Genomic DNA, 21,319 nt, shown 5'->3' with positions numbered 1-21,319 from the left:
AAGTCAAGCCCAGAAACCCATCAGAATTTCCTAGACAGCTTTTTTTAAAACTACAAATGCGGTGGCTCACGCCTGTAATCCCAGCACTTTGGGAGGCTGAGGCGGGCGGATCACGAGGTCAGGAGATCGAGACCATCCTGGCTAACACAGTGAAACCCCGTCTTTACTAAAAATACAAAAAATTAGCCAAGCGTGGTGGTGGGTGCCTGTAGTCCCAGCTACTCAGGAGGCTGAGGCAGGAGAATGGCATGAACCTAGGAGGTGGAGGTTGCAGTGAGCCGAGATCGCACCACTGCACTCCAGCCTGGGCGACAGAGCGAGACTCCGTCTCAAAAACAAAAAACAAAAAAAACTACCAATGCCTAGGCTCTATCCTACACCATTTCTTCAGGGTGGGCACCCAGCAATTTGTATTTTTTAAAAATCCACCATTGTACTCAATGGTAAAACACTGTCATTTATAAGGCTCAATATGCATTGGGAGAAGGAGGAGGGGTTCCATATCGTGTCCACTCTTTCTTTCCTTGATCTTGAGCAAATGTCTCCAAATGCCTTTGGACTGTCCATTTAGAGATTACACTTTATCTCTCTTTCCCATGCCCACACTTTGAACAATTATCTTTTCCACTCCAGAAGTTTTTAGTAGCTTAAAAATGGAAGTCAACGACATATACATACAATTTGAAGAATAATTATAAACACTCATATAAACATAACACAGCTTAGAATATGAAACATTGCCCCCCAGGATCCGAGAAGACCCCATGTCCCCATTTCCAGTCACAACCTTGTTAGTGGAGTTAACCACTATTTAATTTTTGTGATAGTAATTTGCTTGCTTTCTTTAACGTTTTACCATGAATACCTGCATTCCTCACGATATTGTTGTTTTGCCTGTTTTTCAGTTTTGTACTAATGCATTCACACCATATTTATTTGACTTCTTTCTTCAGTGTATATGAAAATAATAGTTCATTCAGGTTTGCTGCTATATGACTATATCATAACTTTTTTTCCATTCTACTATTGAGGGACATTAGCATTGTTTCTGGTTTGACAAAAACAAGCAATGGGGAAAGGATTCCCTAGCTAATAAATGGTGTTAGGGAAACTGGCTAGCCATATGCAGAAAACTGAAACTGGACCCCTTCCTTATACCTTACACAAAAATTAACTCAAGATTGATTAAAGACTTAAACATAAGACCTAAAACCATAAAAACCCTAGAAAACTGAAGCTGCTAAAATAATTCTTATATGAACATTCTTGTATAGTACCCTAATTCACACATGCACAAAATTGTCTAGAACTGGTTTTGTGGGTTGCAAAGTAATAGTAACAGCAATAACAATAATAAATGCTTTGTAGTGTTTATTACATTCCAGGTACTGTTCTGAACATTTCACACAGACTAGCTCATTTAATGCTCACAACACTATGAAAGCAAAAATTGGTTTTGGGGTGGGGAGACAAACTTTACTTTTATGAATCAAGTCACATGTTCAAGGTGAAAAAGCTAGGAAAATGGAATTCAAATCAATGCAGTTGGCAGAAGTGTCTGTACTCAACCATCATACTACAGTGTAATACCATGAATGCAGTAACATGAAAAATGCAATAGTATTATGCATAATAATCTTCAAATTTACTAGAGAATATCAAAATGTATTCCAAAGACATTATACTAATCTACACTCCCACCAGCAGGATAAGAGTTTTTATTATTTCCTTATCTTTGTCAACACTTGTTATTGTCAGACTTTATTTTATTAAACCTGGAAGTTGTGTAATGTAATCTGATTGTAATTTCTATTTAAGTTTCCCTATTACAAATGAGGCCAAGGATTTTCTTCTGTTAACTGACCATGTAAATTTCCTTATTTGTGAACTTACTGTTCAATATCTTTGCCCATTTTCTATTGGAATTTACCCCTTTTTCATTGATTTATAGGAGTTCTTCAGATGTTGTTGGCCATTAATATGTGTAGCAACGATCTTTTTATACTCTGAGGCTTGTGTCTGCATTCTTTACTACTTTTAATAATAAGCTTTATGTTAATCAGACTTATTCATTTTGTTCTTTAGAACTTGTTGTCTTATTTTAAAAGTTCTCTCCTACTCCAATATTTTGAAGATACTCTGTATTATTTTCTTGCAGTGTTGTAATACTGCCTTTCATATTTTGATCTTTAAGAAACCTATAACCAATTTGAGATACCAAAGTTTATTTTTTCCTAGAAAAATACCACTTTCCAGAACAGTTTATTGAAAATTAGTCATTTCTCCACTATACTGCAGTACATCATTGCCATAAGTCAAGGCACCCTATAATAAAAGGCTATAATATCTTAATAATTAAAGCTATATTTTGACATCTGGTAGGGTAAGTTTGATTATATTGTCTTTAAGGGTGACTTGGTTATCCTTGGCCCTTTACAATTCCATATAAATTTTAAAATAAGCTTGTCAATTAAAAATAAAAACATTTAGAAATTAGATGAAGACTGTGTTGAAACTACAGACTATTTGGAAACAAGGTATTTACAATATTAAATATTCTAATCCTTGACTGTGGAGTGCCACTTCCTTTAAGACTTCTTTAGTGTCTTTAAGTAAAAAGTTTACAATTTCCTCCAGAAATTTTTTTTTAGTATAGTTAATTCCAATTATTATTTTTAATTTTTTAAAATTAAGTTCTGAGGTACATGTGCAGAACATGCAGGTTAGTTACATAGGTATACACGTGCCATGGTGGTTTGCTGCACCCATCAACCTGTGATCTATAATAGGTATTTCTCCTAATCCTATGCCTCCCATAGCCCCCCACCATCTGACACACCCCCAGTGTGTGATGTTCCCCTCCCTATGTCCATGTGTTCTCATTCTTCAACTCCCACTTATGAGTGAGAACATGCAGTGTTTGGTTTTCTGTTCTTGTGTTAGTTTGGTGAGAATGATGGTTTCCAGCTTCATCCATGTCCCTGCAAAGGACATTAACTCATCCTTTTTTACGGCTACATAGTATTCCATGGTATATATGTGCCACATTTTGTTTATCCAGTGTATCATTGATGGGCATTTGGGTTGTTTCCAAGTCTTTGCTATTGTGAACAGTGTCGCAGTAAACATGTGTGCATGTGTCTTTATAGTAGAATGATTTATAATCCTTTGGGTATATACCTAGTAATGGGATTGCTGGGTCAAATGGTATTTCTGGTTCTAAATCTTTGAGCAATAGCCACTGTATTCCACAGTGGTTGAACTAGTTTATACTCCCCCCAACAGTGTAAAAGTGTTCCTATTTCTCCACATCCTCTCCAGCATCTGTTGTTTCCTGACTTTTTAATGATCGCCATTCTAACAGGAGTGAGATGGTATCTCATTGTGGTTTTTGATTTGCATTTCCCTAATGACCAGTGATGATGAGCTTTTTTTCATACGTTGGCCACATAAATGTCATCTTTTGAGAAGTGTGTGTTCGTATCCTTTGCCCATTTTTTTGATGGGGTTGTTTTTTTCTTATAAATTTGTTTAAGTTCTTTGTAGATTCTGGATATTAGCCCTTTTCAGATGGATAGATTACAAAATTTTTTCCCCATTCTGTAGGTTGTCTGTTCACATTGATGATGAGCTTCTGCACAGCAAAAGAAATTTTTAGTTTAATTAAATCCCAATTGTCAATTTTGGCTTTTGTTGCCATTGCTTTTGGTGTTTTAGTCATGAAGACTTTGCCCGTGCCTATGTCCTGAATGGTATTGCCTAAGTTTTCTTCTAGGCTTTTTATGCTTTTAGGTCTTACATTTAAGTCTTTCATCCATCTTGAGTTAATTTTTGTATAAGGTGTAAGGAAGGAGTCCAGTTTCAGTTTTCTGAATATGGCTAGCCAGTTTTCCCAGAACCATTTATTAAATAGGGAATCCTTTTCCCATTGGTTGTTTTTGTCAGGTTTGTCAAAGATCAGATGGTTGTAGATGTGTGGTGTTATTTCTGAGGCCTCTGTTCTGTTCCATTGGTCTATATATCTGTGCTGGTACCAGTACCATGCTGTTTTGGTTACTGTAGCCTTGTAGTATAGTTTGAAGTCAGGTAGCGTGATGCCTCCAGCTGTGTTCTTTTTGCTTAGGATTCTCTTTCTTCCGCTGATCAGTTCGGCTATTGATAGTTGTGTATGCTTCACAAAGTTCTCGTGCTGTTTTTCAGCTCCATCAGGTCATTTATGTTCTTCTCTAAACTGGTTACTCTAGTTACCAGTTCACCTAACCTTTTTTCAAAGTTCTTACCTTCCTTGCATTGGGTTAGAACATGTTCCTTTAGCTCGGAGGAGTTTGTTATTACCCACCTTCTGAAGCCTACTTCTGTCAATTTGTCAAACTCATTCTCCATCAGGTTATGTTCCCCTGCTGGTGAGGAGTTGTGATCCTTTGGAGGAGAAGCAGCATTCTGGTTTTTGGAATTTTCACCCTTTTTGCGCTGGTTTCTCCCCATCTTCCTGGATTTATCTGCCTTTGTTCTTTGATGCTGGTGGCCTTCAGATGGGGTTTTTGTGTGGACCTCCTTTTTGTTGATGTTGATGCTCTCATCCTTTCTGTTAGTTTTCCTTCTGTGAGTCAGGCCCCTCTGCTGCAGGTCTGTTGGAGTTTCCTGGAGGCCCACTCCAGGCTCTGTTTGCCTGGGTATCACCAGCAGAGGCTGCAGAACAGCACAGATTGCTGCCTGTTCTTTCCTCTGTAAGCTTCGTCTCAGAGGGGCACCTGCCAGATGCCAGGCGGAGCTCTCCTGTCTGTCGACCACTGCTGGGAAATGTCTCCCCGTCAGGAGGCATGGGGGTCAGGGACCCACTTGAGAAGCAGTTCTGTCCCTTAGCAGAGCTCAAGCGCTGTGCTCAAAGAACTGCTGCTCTCTTCAGAGCCAGCAGGCAGGAATGCTTAAGTCTGCTGAATCTGTACTCACAGCCGCCCCTTCCCCTAGGTGCTCTGTCCCAGGGAGAATAGGGGTTTTCCCTCCAGAGAATTTTTAACATCTTTTTCTAAATTGGTTTCTAAGTATTTAATATTTGTTGATAAAATACTTACAAATTTTCATGCTGCTTTTTGCTGCTACACAGAAATTCAATTGATAGCAATTATTGCATCCAGCAAACTTCTCTTATTCATCTGAATTTGTGGAAATTTGTGGATTCTTCTAGATTTTCTACATATACAATTACATTTTCAGAGACCATCAGTTTTGAATTCAGAAGAAGAAATGACAGATATCTTTGTCTTTTTCTCAATCTTAAAGACAAAGCTTTCAACGATTCATCATGTTTGCTGCTGATGTTCAGTAGAAACCCTTTCATTGATAAAGTGGCCTTTATACCTGGTTTGCTAAAAGCATTTTTATCATGAATGGATACTGAATGTTAGCAAATGCTTTTTCTCCATCTAATGAGATGGTCATAATTAAATCTCTTTTAATTTATGTGATCATAGTAATTGATTTTTTTATGTAAAAACAACTTTGGATTCCTGGCATAAACCCAACTAGTTCCTGATGAATCATCCTTTGCTGAATTTGTCTTGCTAATACTTAGTTTAGAATTTTGAATCTATGTTCCTAAGTGAAATTGGCCAGTAATTTTCCTTTTTCATACTTCATTTGGTTTCAGGTATTTGCTGGGCCCATATAGTTAAGGAGTACCCCTCTTTTCTGAAAAGGCTTAAGTTTGGAATTACTTTTTGAATACTTGTTAGTACTCACCAAATAAGTTGTTTAGGCATGGAATTTTCTTTCTGGGAATATTGTAAATTATTGATTCAGTTATTTTGACGGCTATTGAACTATTGTATATTTCGGTAAGCTATGTTTTTATTAAAATTCATCAGTTTCTTCTACATGTTACAAACTTATTGGTTTTAAGTTATTCATAATAATATATTTAACATCATAATAGGAATATTTATGTCCTCTTCTTCATTCTAGACACAGGATATGTGTGCCTGCTTTTTTCCTTAACTTTGTCAGAGGTTTATCAGTGTTAGAAATCTTTTTCAAAGATAAAACCTTAAAATAAAATTCTGCTCGTCTTTATTGCCTTCTAGTTTCTTTCAGCTTATTTTGTGTTGTTTTTCTATAACTTAAGATATATGCTTCTTTCATTTAGTCTTTCCTTCTGCTAGACACGTTTAAATCTATCAATTTCTTCCAAGTGCTGTTTTAGCTGCAACACATACATTTTAAGTATTTTCACCACTGTCCAGTTCCACTTATATTTTAGGTTAGATGAGCATTTCTTTGACACATGGGTTACCTTGAATTGCGTTAACATCCTCAAATATGAGGCTGCTTAATCATTTACTTACCAGGTAATGCCAAACTTTTTTTTTTTTTTTTTTTTGAGACAAGAATCTTGCTCTGTCACCCAGGCTGGAGTGCAGTGGCATGATCTCAGCTCATTGCAACCTCTGCCTCCTGGGTTCAAGCAACTCTCCTGCTTCAGTCAGCCTCCCAAGTAGCTGGGATTACAGGCATGCACCACCACACCCAACTAATTTTTGTATTTTTAGCAGACACTGGGTTTCACCGTGTTGGTCAGACTTGTCTCAAACTCCTGACCTCAAGCGATCCACCCACCTTGGCCTCCCAAAGTGCTGGGATTACAGGCGTGAGCCACTGCACCTGGTCAGTAACGTCAATTTTGAATTACCTTCCTAGTGGACTGAAATTTTCATTATATGACTCTTTCCCTAGCAATTTCTTTTTTCCAATACTAATATATCTACATCAGCTTCCTTTTGGTTTGTATAATTTTACCCATCACCTTACTTTCCAAATGTTTGTATTTTATGGTTTAGGTGTTGTCTTTTATAACAGTATATAATTGGTTTCATTTTTTAATCAGTTAACAATCTGCCTTTAACTGGATAACTCAGTCCATTTACATTTAATGTAATTACTCACATTTTGGTTATGTCTACTAATACTGTCTCATTTTTTTCTACTTATTCTGTTCCTTCTATTTCTCTTATAATTTTTTTCTATTTCATTTTTCCACTCTACTAGTTTTGAAGTTATATATTCATTTCTATGTAACAATCATTTGTAGTGGTTCCACTAGAAATTACATCTATACTTACATCTGTTAATATCTTTTTTCTACTTATTCTGTTCCTTCTATGGTTTTTTCTATTTCTTATTTTATAATTATTTTTCCTGTTTCATTTTTCCATTGTACTAGCTTGAAAGTTAAATATTCATTTCTATATAGCAGTCATTTGTAGTAGTTACACTAGAAATCACATCTATATTTACAATTAATCAGTACATTTTATTCACTTCTCACACCATCTAAACTTAAAGCACTTCCTTCAATCATTACCATACCAATTGATGTATTATTCCTGTATATTTTTAAATCTCTCATTTTTAACCCCATGAAACATCAATATTCAATATAATAAAAGCTCCTTCAGAGTCATCCATTTTTACAATCTAATTGGTATTTTATTTCTTCTCATTACACAAATAAAGCACATCCTTTTTTATTAAAAAAAAACTTTTTAAGTTCAGAGGTATATGTGCAGGTTACCTAGGTAAACTTGTGTCATAGAGGTTTGTCGTGTAGATTACTTTGTCAGGTATTAAGCCTAGTACCCATTAGTTGTTTTTCCTGATCCTCTCCCTCCTGCCACTCCCCACCCTCCAACAGGCCCCAGTGTCTGTTGTTCCCCTCCATGTGTCCATGTGTTCTCATCACTTAGCTTCCACTTATAAATAAGAATATGTGGCATATGGTTTTCTGTTTCTGCATTATTTTGCCAAGGATAGTGGCTTCCAGCTCCATCAACATTCCTGCAAAAGACATGATCTCATTCTCTTTTATGGCTGAATAGTATTCCACAGTGTATATGTACCAGATTTTCTTTTTACACTTCCACCAACAGTGTATAAGCATTCCTTTTTCTCCATAACCTCACCAGCATGTTATTTTTTGACTTCTTAACAGTAGCCCTTCTGACTGGTGTGAGATAGTTTCTCATTGTGGTTTTGATTTGCATTTATCTAATGATCCATGATGTTAAGCTTTTCTTATATGCTTGCTGGCCACAGGTACATCGTCTTTGGAAGAGTGTCTGCTCATGTCTTTTGTCCACATCTTAATGGGGTTGTATTTTTCTTGTAGATTTAAGTTCCTTCCAGATAGTGGATATTAGAACTTTGTCAAATACATAGTTTGCAAATACTTTCTCCCATTCTGTAGGCTCCCTGTTTGTGCAGCTCTTTAGTTGGAATTAAATCCCATTTGTAAATTTTTGCTTTTGTTGCATTTGTTTTTGGCATCTTCATCATGAAATCCTTATCCGTGCCTATGTCCTGAATAATATTGCCTAGGTTGTTTTCTAGGGCTTTTATAGTTTTGGGCTTTCCATTTAAGTCTTTAATCCATCTTGAGTTGATTTTTGTATATGGTATAAGGAGTCCAGTTTCAATCTTCTGCGTATGGCTAGCCAGTTATCCCAGCACCATTTACTTATGGGGAGTCCTTTCTCCATTGCTTGCTTCTGTCATGTTTGTGGGAGATCAGATGGTTGTAGCTGTTTAGCTTAATTTCCAGGCTCTCTATTCTGTTCCACTGGTCTATATGTCTGTTTTTGTATTAGTATCATGCGTTTTGGCTACCGTAGTCATGTAGTGTAGTTTGAAGTCGGGTAGTGTAATGCCTCCAGCTTTGTTCTTTTTGCACAGGAGTGCCTTGGCTATTTGGGCTCCTTTTTGGTTCTGCATGAATTTTAAAATAGTTTTTCCTAGTTCTGTGAGGATGTTATTGGTAGTGTAATAGGAATAGCATTGAATGTACAAACTGCTTTGGGCTGCTATAAGGTCATTTTAATAAAATTGATTCTTCTTATCCATGAGCATGGAATTTTTTTCCATTTGTTTGTATCATCTCTGATTTCTCTGAGCACTGTTTTGCAGTTCTCCATGTAGAGATCTTTCACCTCCTGGTTCACTGTATTCCTAGGTATTTTATTCTTTTTGTGGCAACTGTGAATAGGATTGCATTCCTGATTTCACTCTTGGCTTGACTGTAGTTGGTGTATAGGAATGCTACTGATTTTTGTATGTTATGTATCCTGAGATTTTGCTGAAGTTGCTTCAGCTTCAGAAGCTTTTGGGCTGAGATTATGGTGTTTTCTAGATACAAAATCATGTCATCTACAAACAGAAATAGACTTCCTCCTTCCTATTTAGATGCCCTTTCTCTTGCCTGGTTGCTCTGGCCAGGACTCTAATACTATGTTGCATAGGAGTAGTGAGAGAGAGAGAGTATGCTTTTGCCCATTCAGTATGATGTTGGCTGTAGGCTTGTCATAGATGGCTCTTATAATTTTGAGGTATGTTCCTTCAATACCTACTTTATTGAGAGTTTTTAACATGAAGAGTTGTTGAATTTTATCGAAAGCCTTTTCAAACCACATCCTTTATAATTTCCTTTAGTGAGAATCCGCAGGTGGCAACCTTGCTCATATTTTGTTGTCTGACACTATCTTTTTTCTACCTTCATTCCTGAAATACACTTGCTAGGTATATAATTTTAAAATGGAATTTATTTCTCTCAACACATTAGGGATAGTCATTCAACTGGTTTCTGATTTCCATTATTGTTCTTGAGAAGTCAGCTTAAGATTAGTTGTGAGGAAGATTCACTGTGCACTGCTTACCACTTTAGCCCACTGCATCTTGCACTGCAGTCTCTACTACTTCCAAGAGTCTGGTGAGACAGGACATTCACACACATGTTTCATGAAGTCGTCTTATTAATTGTAGGTAGGCAGTAAGGAAAAACAGTAGCCCAGGATTCATGACAAGCAAGTCTCCAAAGGCTGAGGAAAGCTGCCTAGGGCAGATTGGGACTCATCTGTGCATACTCTACTTGCACTGTCACGGAGAGCCCCTGGATTTTGAAAGCCGTACCCCCTAGGAGGTGACATGGGCCGCTGGGTTAAAGTGGTGAAGGACACCCTGTTCCAGGAGGGACAGGAACAGAGCCTGGGCTGTTCTGGACAATTCTTTATTAGGATGTTGTATTCCTGGCACATTTCTACAAGAACTACAAGTGAGAAAGTGGAGAATAGCTGGGTCACCAAAGCCATCCAGGGACTTGTCCTGTACTAGCTGAGGTTCCCTTGTGACTTTTGTTTCGGCTGCTTTTACAAGTTATTGGCATTCTGCTGCTTCAATACGGTATGTCTAAGAATGAGGATTTTATATCTATCCTGCTTAGGATAAATCCATAGACTATGTGTTTCATTGATTTGAAAAAGTCTCAGGAAATATAGCTTCAAATATTGGTTCTGCCTCGGTATCTATCTGAAACTATTAGATATACATGACACTCTTGTGTTTTAACCACCTCTCATATTCTCAAGTTTGTTTTTCATGCGGAATTCTGGATACTTTCTTTTGGTTCTGTATTGCAGTCACTAATTCTCATTATTTCAAGTCCATCTTGTCTTTTGAACTTATCCATTAGGGTTAATTTTTTAATTTTAGTTATTCTATTTTCTACTTCTATAAGAAGTTCCATTTGGTTCTTTTTCAAATATGCCAGCCTACTTTTTATAATGCCTTGTTTCTTGCAGATATTTCCAAATAACTTTTAAGTTTAAACATGTGAACACGTTTTATATTATACATGTGTTAATTCCAATATCTGAGTTTTCTGGTGGTCTGTCTCTGCTGCCTCTTAGTCATGGTGCTAGCTTTCCATGTGGAGTCTGCTTGTTTACTGAAACTTGAGGATTCACTTTTCTGGAAATTATCTGTGACCCGAGTATCCTCAAAAGCTTGTTTACATTTGTCAGGTACTCATTCTGGGGCCATATATTAAATTTATAGCTTAAGTTTTGTTTTAGTACACAGATGACTTGAATCCAGGATAGCCTGCAATTCTGTACAAGTACTGGAGCAAGTTTTCTTCTGGCTCACTCTAACCCTGAGGGTATATATAGTCTTTAGGGTCCTGTCTTTCTGGAAAAACCGTTTATGACTCTCCAACTTACGTGGGTTCTGTGCTTTGTCTTCTGCCCACTGTGTCCCAAAGGACCATCAAAACCAAAGTAGAAATTCATCTTAGGGTAAAAGAGGCTTTGCCAGTTTCACTTAGCAATATTGGCCTTATAATTAATCTCTTAGGGTATTGCCAGCTCCTAGAAGCTTCTAAAAAATACTTTTTCTACTCTACCTAAAAGTTTTCATTTTCAGCAGAACTGCTCAGATTAGCATTGTTTGCCACATTACTGAAAAGAAAATCTAAAATTTTATTTAAAATCCCATATATTTCATAGCATCATTTTCTCACCTATCAATGTCAGGAAATGTTCCATGTCATTAAAAATTCTTCATAAACCTACATTTAAACTACTTCGTTATACATGTCATCACAACTCACTTAACCTTTTAAGTATTTGGGGGAGTTCTGCTGTTCCAAATTCACTCAAATATCATTTTTAATAACATGATTATGTGAAAAACTGCACATTCCTGAATATCTTTTCTTTAGGATAGAATCTTAGAAATAAAATTTACGGGTTCAAAAAGTACCAATGTTCTTAAAGTTCTTAATATATATTTCCAATTTATTTTCAATAAGCTGTATCAGATTCCTCTCAACCACCAAGTACAATGGTAAGAAGCCAATTGTGCCATGTATCACTACCATTAAGTACAATCCAAACACCCTCCTCCACTCCAAATGTTAAGCAGGGAAATAGGATTTGCATATCACTAAGGTGACTGGCTGCAAGTAACATACTAAAAAAACAGGCTGGAGACAAGAAAGCCATATATAGATTGCTACAGAAAAAAATTGTAAGTCTAAAGTATCAGACTAATAGTCAGAAAAGGGGGAATGAGTGATTTTGAGACAGTAAGGCAGTACAGTGTATCAGCCCTAACTATATAATAAGCTGCCCCAGAATGTACTGATTTAAAAGAACTGCCATTAATTTAGCTTGTAATTGGCAATTTGGACTGGGATTAGCTGTCATGGCTAAGCTCACTCATATAAATGTGGTTGGCTGAGAGCTGGCTGGTCTAGGATGACTCACCTTTGCTCCACATGATCTGATCCTCTGGTAGGCCAGCCCTAGTTTGCTCACATGGCAGTTGGACAGATGTCCAATAGTGCCGGCAGAAGTATGCAAGGCTCTGAGGGCCCAGAACCTAAGTTTGCATAATATTACTCCCTCATTCTTTTGAGCAAATCAAGTCACAAGGCCTGCAGATTTGAATAACTGAAAAACAGATTAATAGGCACTGCAAAGTTACCTTGCAAAGGGCATGGGTACAAGGAGTGGTAGAGAACTATGAGCATTTTGTGATCCACCATGTAGTGTTGTCAGAATTGCTGAATAATGAGGAAGAGGCCTGTAGGGAAATGGTGAAATCGAAGCAAAATTGCAAAAATCTGAACTGGTAAACTGTGTACATGTTATTTTTTTTATTTTTATTTTTTATTATACTTTAAGTTCTAGGGTACATGTGCACAATGTGTAGGTTTGTTACATATGTATACATGTGCCATGTTGGTGTGCTGCACCCATTAACTCGTCATTGCGCATATGTTGTTATTCACTGAAAAGGGAAGAGAAGTATATTTGATTTTAAACATGAGTTGGAAATGTCAGTCTCAAACACAGATCTGAAGTTCACAAATGAGATTAAGAAGCTCCATCAAAAACTACAAGAACTGATAAAAATCAGTAAAACTGCAAGATACAAAATCAACATATAAAAATTAGTAACATCTCTATATGCCAAAAGTGAACAATCTGAAAATTTTTTTTAATCCCATTTACAATAGTTACAAATAAAATTAAATACCTAGGAATTAACCCTTTAACCAAGAAGTAAATGATCTCTACAATGAAAACTATAAAACAATGAAAAAAATTGAAGAGGACACAAACTATGGAAAGATATTCCATGTTCATGGATTGGAAGACTCAATATCATTAAAATGTCCATATTAACAGATTCAATGCAATCCCTATCAATGCCATTCTTCACAGAAACAGGAAAAATTCTAAAAATTATGTGGAACCACAAAAGACCCAGAATAGCAAAAGTTATCATGAGCATAAAGAAGAAAACTGGAGAAATCACATTACCTGACTTCACATTCTACTACAGAACTATAGAAACCAAAACAGCATGGTACTGGAATAAAAACAGACACATAGAACAATGGAAAGAAATAGAGAATCCAGTAATAAATCCACACATCTCCATACATCTACTGGCCAGGCAAAATGGCTCATGCCTATAATCCCAGCATTTTGGGAGGCTGAGGCGGGCGGATCACTTGAGGCCAGGAGTTCGGGACCAGCCTGATCAACATGGTGGAACCCCATCTCTACCAAAAATGTAAACACTAGCCAGGCATGGTGGCACATGCCTGTAGTCCCAGCTACTCAGGAGGCTGAAGCACAAGAATCACTTGAACCTGGGAGGTGGAGGTTGCAGTGAGCCAAGATCATGCCACTGCATTCCAGCCTGGGTGACAGTGACACTCTGTTTAAAAAAAAGAAAGAAAAAAACAAAAAACCCCCACACATCTATAGTGAACTTATTGTTGACAAAGGTGCCAGGAACATACATGGGAGAAAAGACAGTCTTTTCAATAAATGGTAGCGGGGAAAACTGGATATCCATATGCAGAAGAATGAAACTTGACCCCTATTTCTCACCATATACAAAAATCAAATCAAAATGGATTAAAGACTTAAATCCAACACCTCAAATTGTGGAACTACCATAAGAAAACACTGAAGAAAATATCCAGGGCATTGGTCTGGACAGAAACGTGAGTAATACCCCACAAGCACAGGCAACCAAAGCAAAAATGGACAAATGGGATTATAGTACATTAAAAAGCTTCTGCACAGCAAAGGAAATAATAAAGTGAAGAGAACCCAGGGAATGGGAGAAAATATTTCCAAACTATCCATCTGACAAGGGAGTCATAACCAGAATATATAAGGAGTTCAAACAACTCTATAAGAAAAAAATCTAATAATCAGATTTAAAAATGGGCAAAAGATCTGGTAGACATTTCTCAAAAGAAGACATTTAAATGGCAAACAGGCATATAAACAGGTGTTCAAAATCACTGATCATCAGTGAACTGCAAATCAAAACTACAATGAGATAGCATGTCACCCCAGTTAAAATGGCTTTTATCCAAAAGACGGGCAATAACAAATGCTGATGAGAATGTGGAGAAAAGGGAACCCTTGTGCAGCTTAGGTGGGAATGTAAATTAGTACAACCACTATGGAGAACAGTTTGGAGGTTCTTAAAAAAACTAAAAATAGAGCTAGCATATGATCCAGCAATCCCATTGATGGATACAGATGACAAATAAGAAAAGTCAGTATACTAAAGAGATATCTGCACTCTCAAATTGCAGCATTCTTCACAATAGCCAAGTTATGGAATCAGCGTAAGTGTCCATCAACAGATGAATGGATAAAGAAAATGTGGTATACAATAGAGTACTATTCAGTTATAAAAAAGAATGAGATCCTGTCATTTGCAACAACATGGATGGAACTGGAGGTCAGTATGTTAAGTGAAATAAGGAATGAATAATACCTAGTATTTCACAGCACAAGGTGACTATAGTCAATAATTGTACATTTAAAAATAAGTATAACTGGATTGTTTATAACACAAAAGATAAATGTTTGAGGGGATGAATAGCCCATTTTCCATGTGATTATTACACATTGCATGCCTGTATTAAAATTATCTCATGTACCCCATAAATACATACATCTATGTATCCACAAAAATTAAAAATTTTAAAATGAGATTTAGGTTGGTGTTAGTGATTTAAGAGTAGAGCTAATATTTGAAGCAACAAATGTGTAATGTGAGAGTCCTGAGGATGAAATCCCACAGAACATCATATTTTTAAAAGTGGGGGTAGGGAGGAGAAAATTTATAATCTAAAGGAGAAGTAGGCAGTATAAAAAGCAGAAGTGGTTTAAAAGCAGAAGACAGTAATACTATCAAATCTTCAACTTATCAACCTTACAGTGATTAATATCCCATTGATTTTGGCAAGTGAGTGGTTACCCTGGCTAGAGCAGCAGGTGAAGTAAAAGAAAAAGACATGGGGCCGGGCGCGGTGGCTCACGCCTGTAATCCCAGCACTTTGGGAGGCCGAGGCGGGCGGATCACGAGGTCACGAGATCGAGACCATCCCGGCTAAAACGGTGAAACCCCGTCTCTACTAAAAATACAAAAAATGAGCCGGGCGTGGTGGCGGGCGCCTGTAGTCCCAGCTACTTGGGAGGCTGAGGCAGGAGAATGGCGTGAACCCGGGAGGCGGAGCTTGCAGTGAGCCGAGATCCCGCCACTGCACTCCAGCCTGGGCGACAGAGCGAGACTCTGTCTCAAAAAAAAAAAAAAAAAAAGACATGGAAGGTACTGCTCAGTGGCTGGCTGAAGTGAAGGATCACAGAAACTAGGGAGTCTGTAATGGAAATAAAAGCACTAGTAGAATGACATTGAAGGCACCAAGTAGTCAAAGGACTGATAAGTTTATGTATCAGTTTACTGTTAAAGACCACTCCCTATTACCCAAACTTTTAGTTCACGAACTTGGTGTCCCAGTATTTGCACAGTACATCTAGGCAAAACAGCAAACAAAACTTAGTTTTGTTTATTAAGTAGTCCAAACAACTTATTTGTGCCAAAACAATTTAGCACCTGTTGGACACTATGCAGCTTACACTGTAATCATATTGACCAACACTACCTACATTTTCTGTTACTCACTCATCTTCTGTGATATTTGCATTTTTATCACAGCAACCACTAAAAGCCCAGCTTCACAAAGATCTGTCATTAAAAAGAATGTGGCAATATAACTGTAAAACTGAAAATCCTTGCACTAGTAATGTGTGTGGTGTCCAGCAAACACAAATGTGACTGTGATTTCCTCAAAGTTAAAATATCCTGCAGCACCCCTGAGTTCTCTGAGGTGCCCAGGGAATCTCAGTTTATAATTTTGGAACCATAGCCCTATTCCCTATCCTTGCTTTTATTTTCCTCAATAGTACTTATCACCCTACATATTTTATTTCTCTCCTTTAGAATGTGAGTTCCATGGGGGTAGCAGACTTTTTGTCTTTGTTAAAAGTGCTATATCGCTAATACCTAGAATGACATCTGGCAAATGCAGGTTTTTAGTAAGTATCTGTTGAATGAATTGTGCAGTGGGAGTAAGAAACTGATTATATTGTTAAGAGATAGTGGCAAAAGCACAGGATATTGAAATTCATAATTTCAGATGCAAAACAGTTCTGAACAGAGTGAAGGTTTAAGTGTAGCCATGGCATGAGTGAGTGGTTGAATGAAAGTGAATAATGCCAGATAACTCTGTCTGCTGGTTAAGTAAACGACATAAATACTAAGTCACCAAAATAATGGCAAGATTTGAGGTTAAGTCAAGTGCCAACGAACAGAAGGGAAGTATACCCTAAAAGAAAAAAAGCCACAAAGGAACGAGTTCTTAAGCGAGGGTGGCATAGTGATGGGTTGAAAGGGACAATAGGATGGGTCTCTTGTAAAGTGGGAGTTGTGGCCCACTTTACAAGACTACAGCGAAGCAGCGTCTTCAGAAGTATTAGGTTTATATTAGGCATGATGAAAAGGATAATGCTGTAAAGAGTTTGCAGATGTATTTGTTCATGCTGAACGAGGGCTCCTGAATGCACGACTAGATTTTAAACTTCTTGAGGGCAGGAGCTTCGTCTTATCCATTGTTGTATCCCTGAAGCCTGTTATAACACAGACGGAATAATTATTGATTATCATCTTTCTCAACGAGAAAGACCAACAACAGATCAGACTGACTCAAAAAAAAAAAAAAAAAGGATGGAAGAACGGACTAAGGTGGCCCTAGCAGGTATATACAAAGAGAGAACACATGAGACACCAACCCAGAGAAAACATGTATCAGTTTCTAAAGAGATGACATAAATTGCAAGTACATCTAAAAAAATGATCGTTTCAGAATCTTGGAGTAAGCCTTCCTAACTAACTAACTGTCTTAGTCTCTTTGGGCTGCTATAACAAATTACCCTAAACTGGGTGGCTTATAAATAGAAATCTGTTTCTCACGTTTTGGAGACTGCAAAGTACAAGACCAGGGCACCAGCAGATTCAGTGTCTCATGAGGGGCCACTTTCTGCTTTAACATCTTCTCACTGTATCCTCATATGGTAGAAGGGGCAAGAGATCTCCCTGGAGCTTTTTTTTTATACGGGCACTAATCCCATTCATGAGGGCTCTACCACCTAATAGTATCACACTGGGAATCAGGTTTCAATAACTAAAGATACAAGTCATTTAGCATAATATTTTTTAAAATCCACATTTTATGTTGTAAATGGGGTTACCGTTTTTTAAATTTGAGATCTTAGGAAAGTTTCTTATACTTAAGTTGATTTGTAATGTCCTCAACTATTAGTTGATAAATGAGAGTCTCAATGTAGCTACACATTATTTCAGGGGTTGTTATTAACAAACAAACACTGGAGGAAACGTATTATACTTTGTATAGTTTATTATACAAATGATTGATAGTAAAATAGTGAATTTTAAAGCTTCTTCCTAACCTTTCATTGTGAATGAACAGTGATGCAGGGAGAAGAGACATTCAGAAGAAAAATCATGTATGTATTATTAAACTAGAAGTGATAAAATGTTCAGAATGACAATGTATTTAAAAAATAATAACCTTGTTGGAATTGTACATCTATCATTATCACAACATGCTTATTTGATGAAGCTAAAGAAAAGCCAGAAGACTAATATGGCTGGATGAGAATAGCATTTTAAAACATTTTCAGCAAAATTCTAGAAATTTGCTGTTTAGTTCCAAAACTGAATTTCATACAAGTGCTATTATTCCAATAGTTTTTTTCAATTGTCACTAGTGATCTTGATCCATATACTGCAATCATAATATCCAAAATAAAAGAGTATTTCATTAATAACAGGTGTTTTCAAAGCTTAAATATATTTCAAAAACCAATGACAGTTAAAGTAGGGGTTCTAAATTTTTGCATGTCTTATTAAGCTTTGTTGTATAGACTAAAATTTTGGTTTCATAGACTCAGAAATACTAAATTGCCTATTGGGTTTTGTGGCTTCTTGCATCAGCTCCTGCAACTGTCCAATTTGTTCATCACGAAAGTCATTAAGTTTTTCTTCTGGGAGGAAGGTGCCAAAACATGCTTTTCCAGTTGAATTTTGTCTGTTTTCGTTAGCCTGTTGCAATAACGCTGTTGCATACACCTAAAAAGATAAAGAATGAAGGTTATAGATGTAAAGTTTAAATAATATTTAACATTAGAGGACTTGAATTCTAATTCTGAGTCACCTATTTTTCCTCATCAGTAAATGCAGAAGCATTTGGTTAAGGAGATATAAATATAGTTGTGAAGATACAATTCATTGATCATTTCATGTATATCTATTTTTAGCACTTTAAGTGTTTTAACCAACTTTTAGCAAAATTTTTAACCTGGATATAAGTAAAGAGTGGTGAGTCCCTGGATGGGCTTCAGAAGCATGCATAAACCACCTCAAACCATATGCAAAATTGTATTTACACAAGTACGGACATCATTTCTGGGGCCATAGCTTTCAACGGATTCTCAAACAGGAACCATGGGTCTTTTTTCCCCCAACTTTTATTTTAAACCTGCACATATATCCCCTAGATACAAGGGGTACATGTGCAGGTTTGTTAGATGGGAATAACTGCATGATGCTCAAGTTTGGGTACAGGTCCTGTCACCCAGGGAGTAAGCACAATACCCAACATGTAGCTTTTCAACCCATACCACCCTCCAGTAGTCCATGCTGTCAGCTGTTCCCAGTTTACATCCATGTGTGCTCAATGTTTAGCTCCCACTTAAAATTTTATTTTTCTGTTCCTGTGTTAATTTGCCTAGGATCATGGCATCTATGTTGCTGCAAAGGACATGCTTTCATCCTATTTATGGCAGCACAGTATTCCACGGTGACATGTAACACATCTTCAAGTGAGTCTAAATTCATTCCTATGTCTTCAATTACAATTTTAATTTAAAATATACTAGAGAAAAACTTCTTAAACCTTTAAGTCTTCAATGTTTAACAACCATCTGTGTCAAGAAAAACTTTTTCATGTTCTAATTTTGCTCTTATTAAGTACATTCAGCCTAATATTCCAACTATCCCCATCTGCACAAGTGCCACTGTTTTGAAACAGACTCACTCTAAAATTAATCTTTTAAGCAGACAAAGTGCCAAAGTATTTTAGTTCATGAAGTTAAAGTGAATGAACTGGCTAACTCTGGATAATGCTGCTACCTGATCTGGCTTGAGATATATAAATTGCTTGTAATTGCTGGAATGGCAGCATTGCCAGAGCAACTTTAATTCCAAACATTCCAAACCTATGGAGAAAATATTTTTTCCATGATTTACAGAAATCCACTTATTAAGATGAAAACATTTCAAGTTTTATCAATTCCACTTCTATATGCTTCAGGGCAGGCAGGGTTTTTCAACCTTGGCACTATTTTGTGTGTGTAGGGGGGGTAGGGGTGGGGAGGGGTCAGTGAGAGTCTGCATTGCAGGATGTTTAGCAGCATCTCTTGTCTCTGACCACCAGATGGCAGTAACACCCCTCTCCCCGTCTTGATAATCTAAAATGTCTCGAAACACTGCCAAAGGTTTCCTGGCAAGGCAAAAATCACCCTACCATCCTAAAGAAACTTTAAAACATGTGAACAAGTATCATGCAGAAGAATGTTGATTGTTAAAGCAAAAAAAAAAAAAAAAATGGAAATAATTGTACTTCAATAGAAAAGTCAAATACACTGAAATTTACTCAGATGATAATAAAGATGTCACAACAAATAAGCTACAAGTCTATGTATCAACACGGATGAAACTCCAAAAAATAAAATCTAAAAAGCAGGCTTTAAGAAATTATTCATTTACAAAAATGGACAACTAAGGAGCTCTAAATAGCAAAAACAGAGGACTCACAACTCCCAATTTCAAAACTTAACTAGAAAGCCACATTAAACAAAAGTGTGGCACTGGCATTAGAATAGATATATAACACCAATAGAATGAGGAGTCCAGAAGTAAATCCTTACATATATAGCCAATTGATTTTTGATAAAGATGTCAAATCCATTCAGTGGAGGAAAGAATAATCTAGGCAACAACTGGTGCTGGGAAAACTGAATTTCCACATGCAAAAGAGTGAAGTTAGACACCCCATCTTCTACCATATACAAAAATTAACTCAAAGTGAATCAAAGACCTAAATATAAGAGCTAAAATCATGAGAATCCTAGAAGAAAATATATAGGTAAATCTTTATGACCTTTGATTTGGCAATAGGTTCTTAGATATGACACCAAAAGCCCAAGCAACAACAACAAAAATAAACTGGACAGTATCAAAATTAAATACTTCTGTGCATCAAAGGACACCTAATAGTAAAAAGACAAACTACAAAATGAGAAAAAATTTGCAAATCGTATCTGAAAAGGGTTTATTATCCAGAATATATAAAGAACCACAACTAAAAGACAAATAGCCCAATTTAAAAATGGGTAAAGCACATGAATAGACATTTCTCCAAAGATATACAGATGGCCAAGTACATGAAAAGATGGTCAAAATCATTTGCCATTAGAAAAATGTAAATCAAAACCACAATGAGATGCCACTTCACCCTAAGATGTCTACTATAATAATTTTTTAAACCCCAGAAAAATAACAGTTGGAATAAACTAGAATCCTCATACATTGATAATGAGAATATAAAATGGTATAGCCACTGCAGAAAAGACTGGCAGTTCCTCAGAAAGTTAAACACAGAATTACCATATGATCCAGCAAATGCACTCATAGGTATATTACCAAAATAACTGAGAACAGGAACTCAAACACATACTTGTATACACAATAGACGACATTTGGAAAATAACCTAGATGTCCACCAGCAAGCAGATAAACAAAATGTGGTATACACATACAATGGAATATTTATCACCCTTAAAAGGGAATGAAGTTCTGATCCATACTACAACATGGATAAACCTTAAAAAGATTATGCTAAGAAGCCAAACATAAAAAGACATATTGTATGATTCCACTTACATGAAATATCTAGAATAGGAAAATTCATAGACAGAAAGAATAGATAATACTAAGGGCTGGGAGGAGGTAGGAGAGGGTGTTACTGTTTAAT

The 21,319-nt window shown here is 36.7% G+C and overlaps 1 protein-coding gene and 1 long non-coding RNA gene across 2 annotated transcripts in view; one reads left to right on the top strand and one right to left on the bottom strand.

The window, feature by feature from the left end:
* LOC124901704 (uncharacterized) overlaps positions 1 to 21,319 on the top strand; it is a 95,125-nt gene that overhangs the window by 73,222 nt on the left and 584 nt on the right. Inside the window, exon 2 of the long non-coding RNA XR_007060445.1 lies at positions 19,017 to 19,106. This is a non-coding gene — a long non-coding RNA (uncharacterized LOC124901704). The remainder of the gene's footprint in view (positions 1 to 19,016; positions 19,107 to 21,319) is intronic.
* The window catches only part of SDHAF3 (succinate dehydrogenase complex assembly factor 3), a 64,066-nt gene continuing 60,349 nt past the window's right edge, over positions 17,603 to 21,319 (bottom strand). Inside the window, exon 2 of the mRNA NM_020186.3 lies at positions 17,603 to 18,354. Coding sequence (NP_064571.1) covers positions 18,151 to 18,354 — 204 coding nt within the window. The 3' untranslated portion in view covers positions 17,603 to 18,150. The remainder of the gene's footprint in view (positions 18,355 to 21,319) is intronic.

This window comes from Homo sapiens, chromosome 7 (assembly GCF_000001405.40).
Source record: "Homo sapiens chromosome 7, GRCh38.p14 Primary Assembly".
Taxonomy (NCBI): domain Eukaryota; kingdom Metazoa; phylum Chordata; class Mammalia; order Primates; family Hominidae; genus Homo; species Homo sapiens.
The sequence above is the reverse complement of the archived record's forward strand: the minus strand, read 5'-3'. Positions and strand labels throughout refer to the sequence as shown.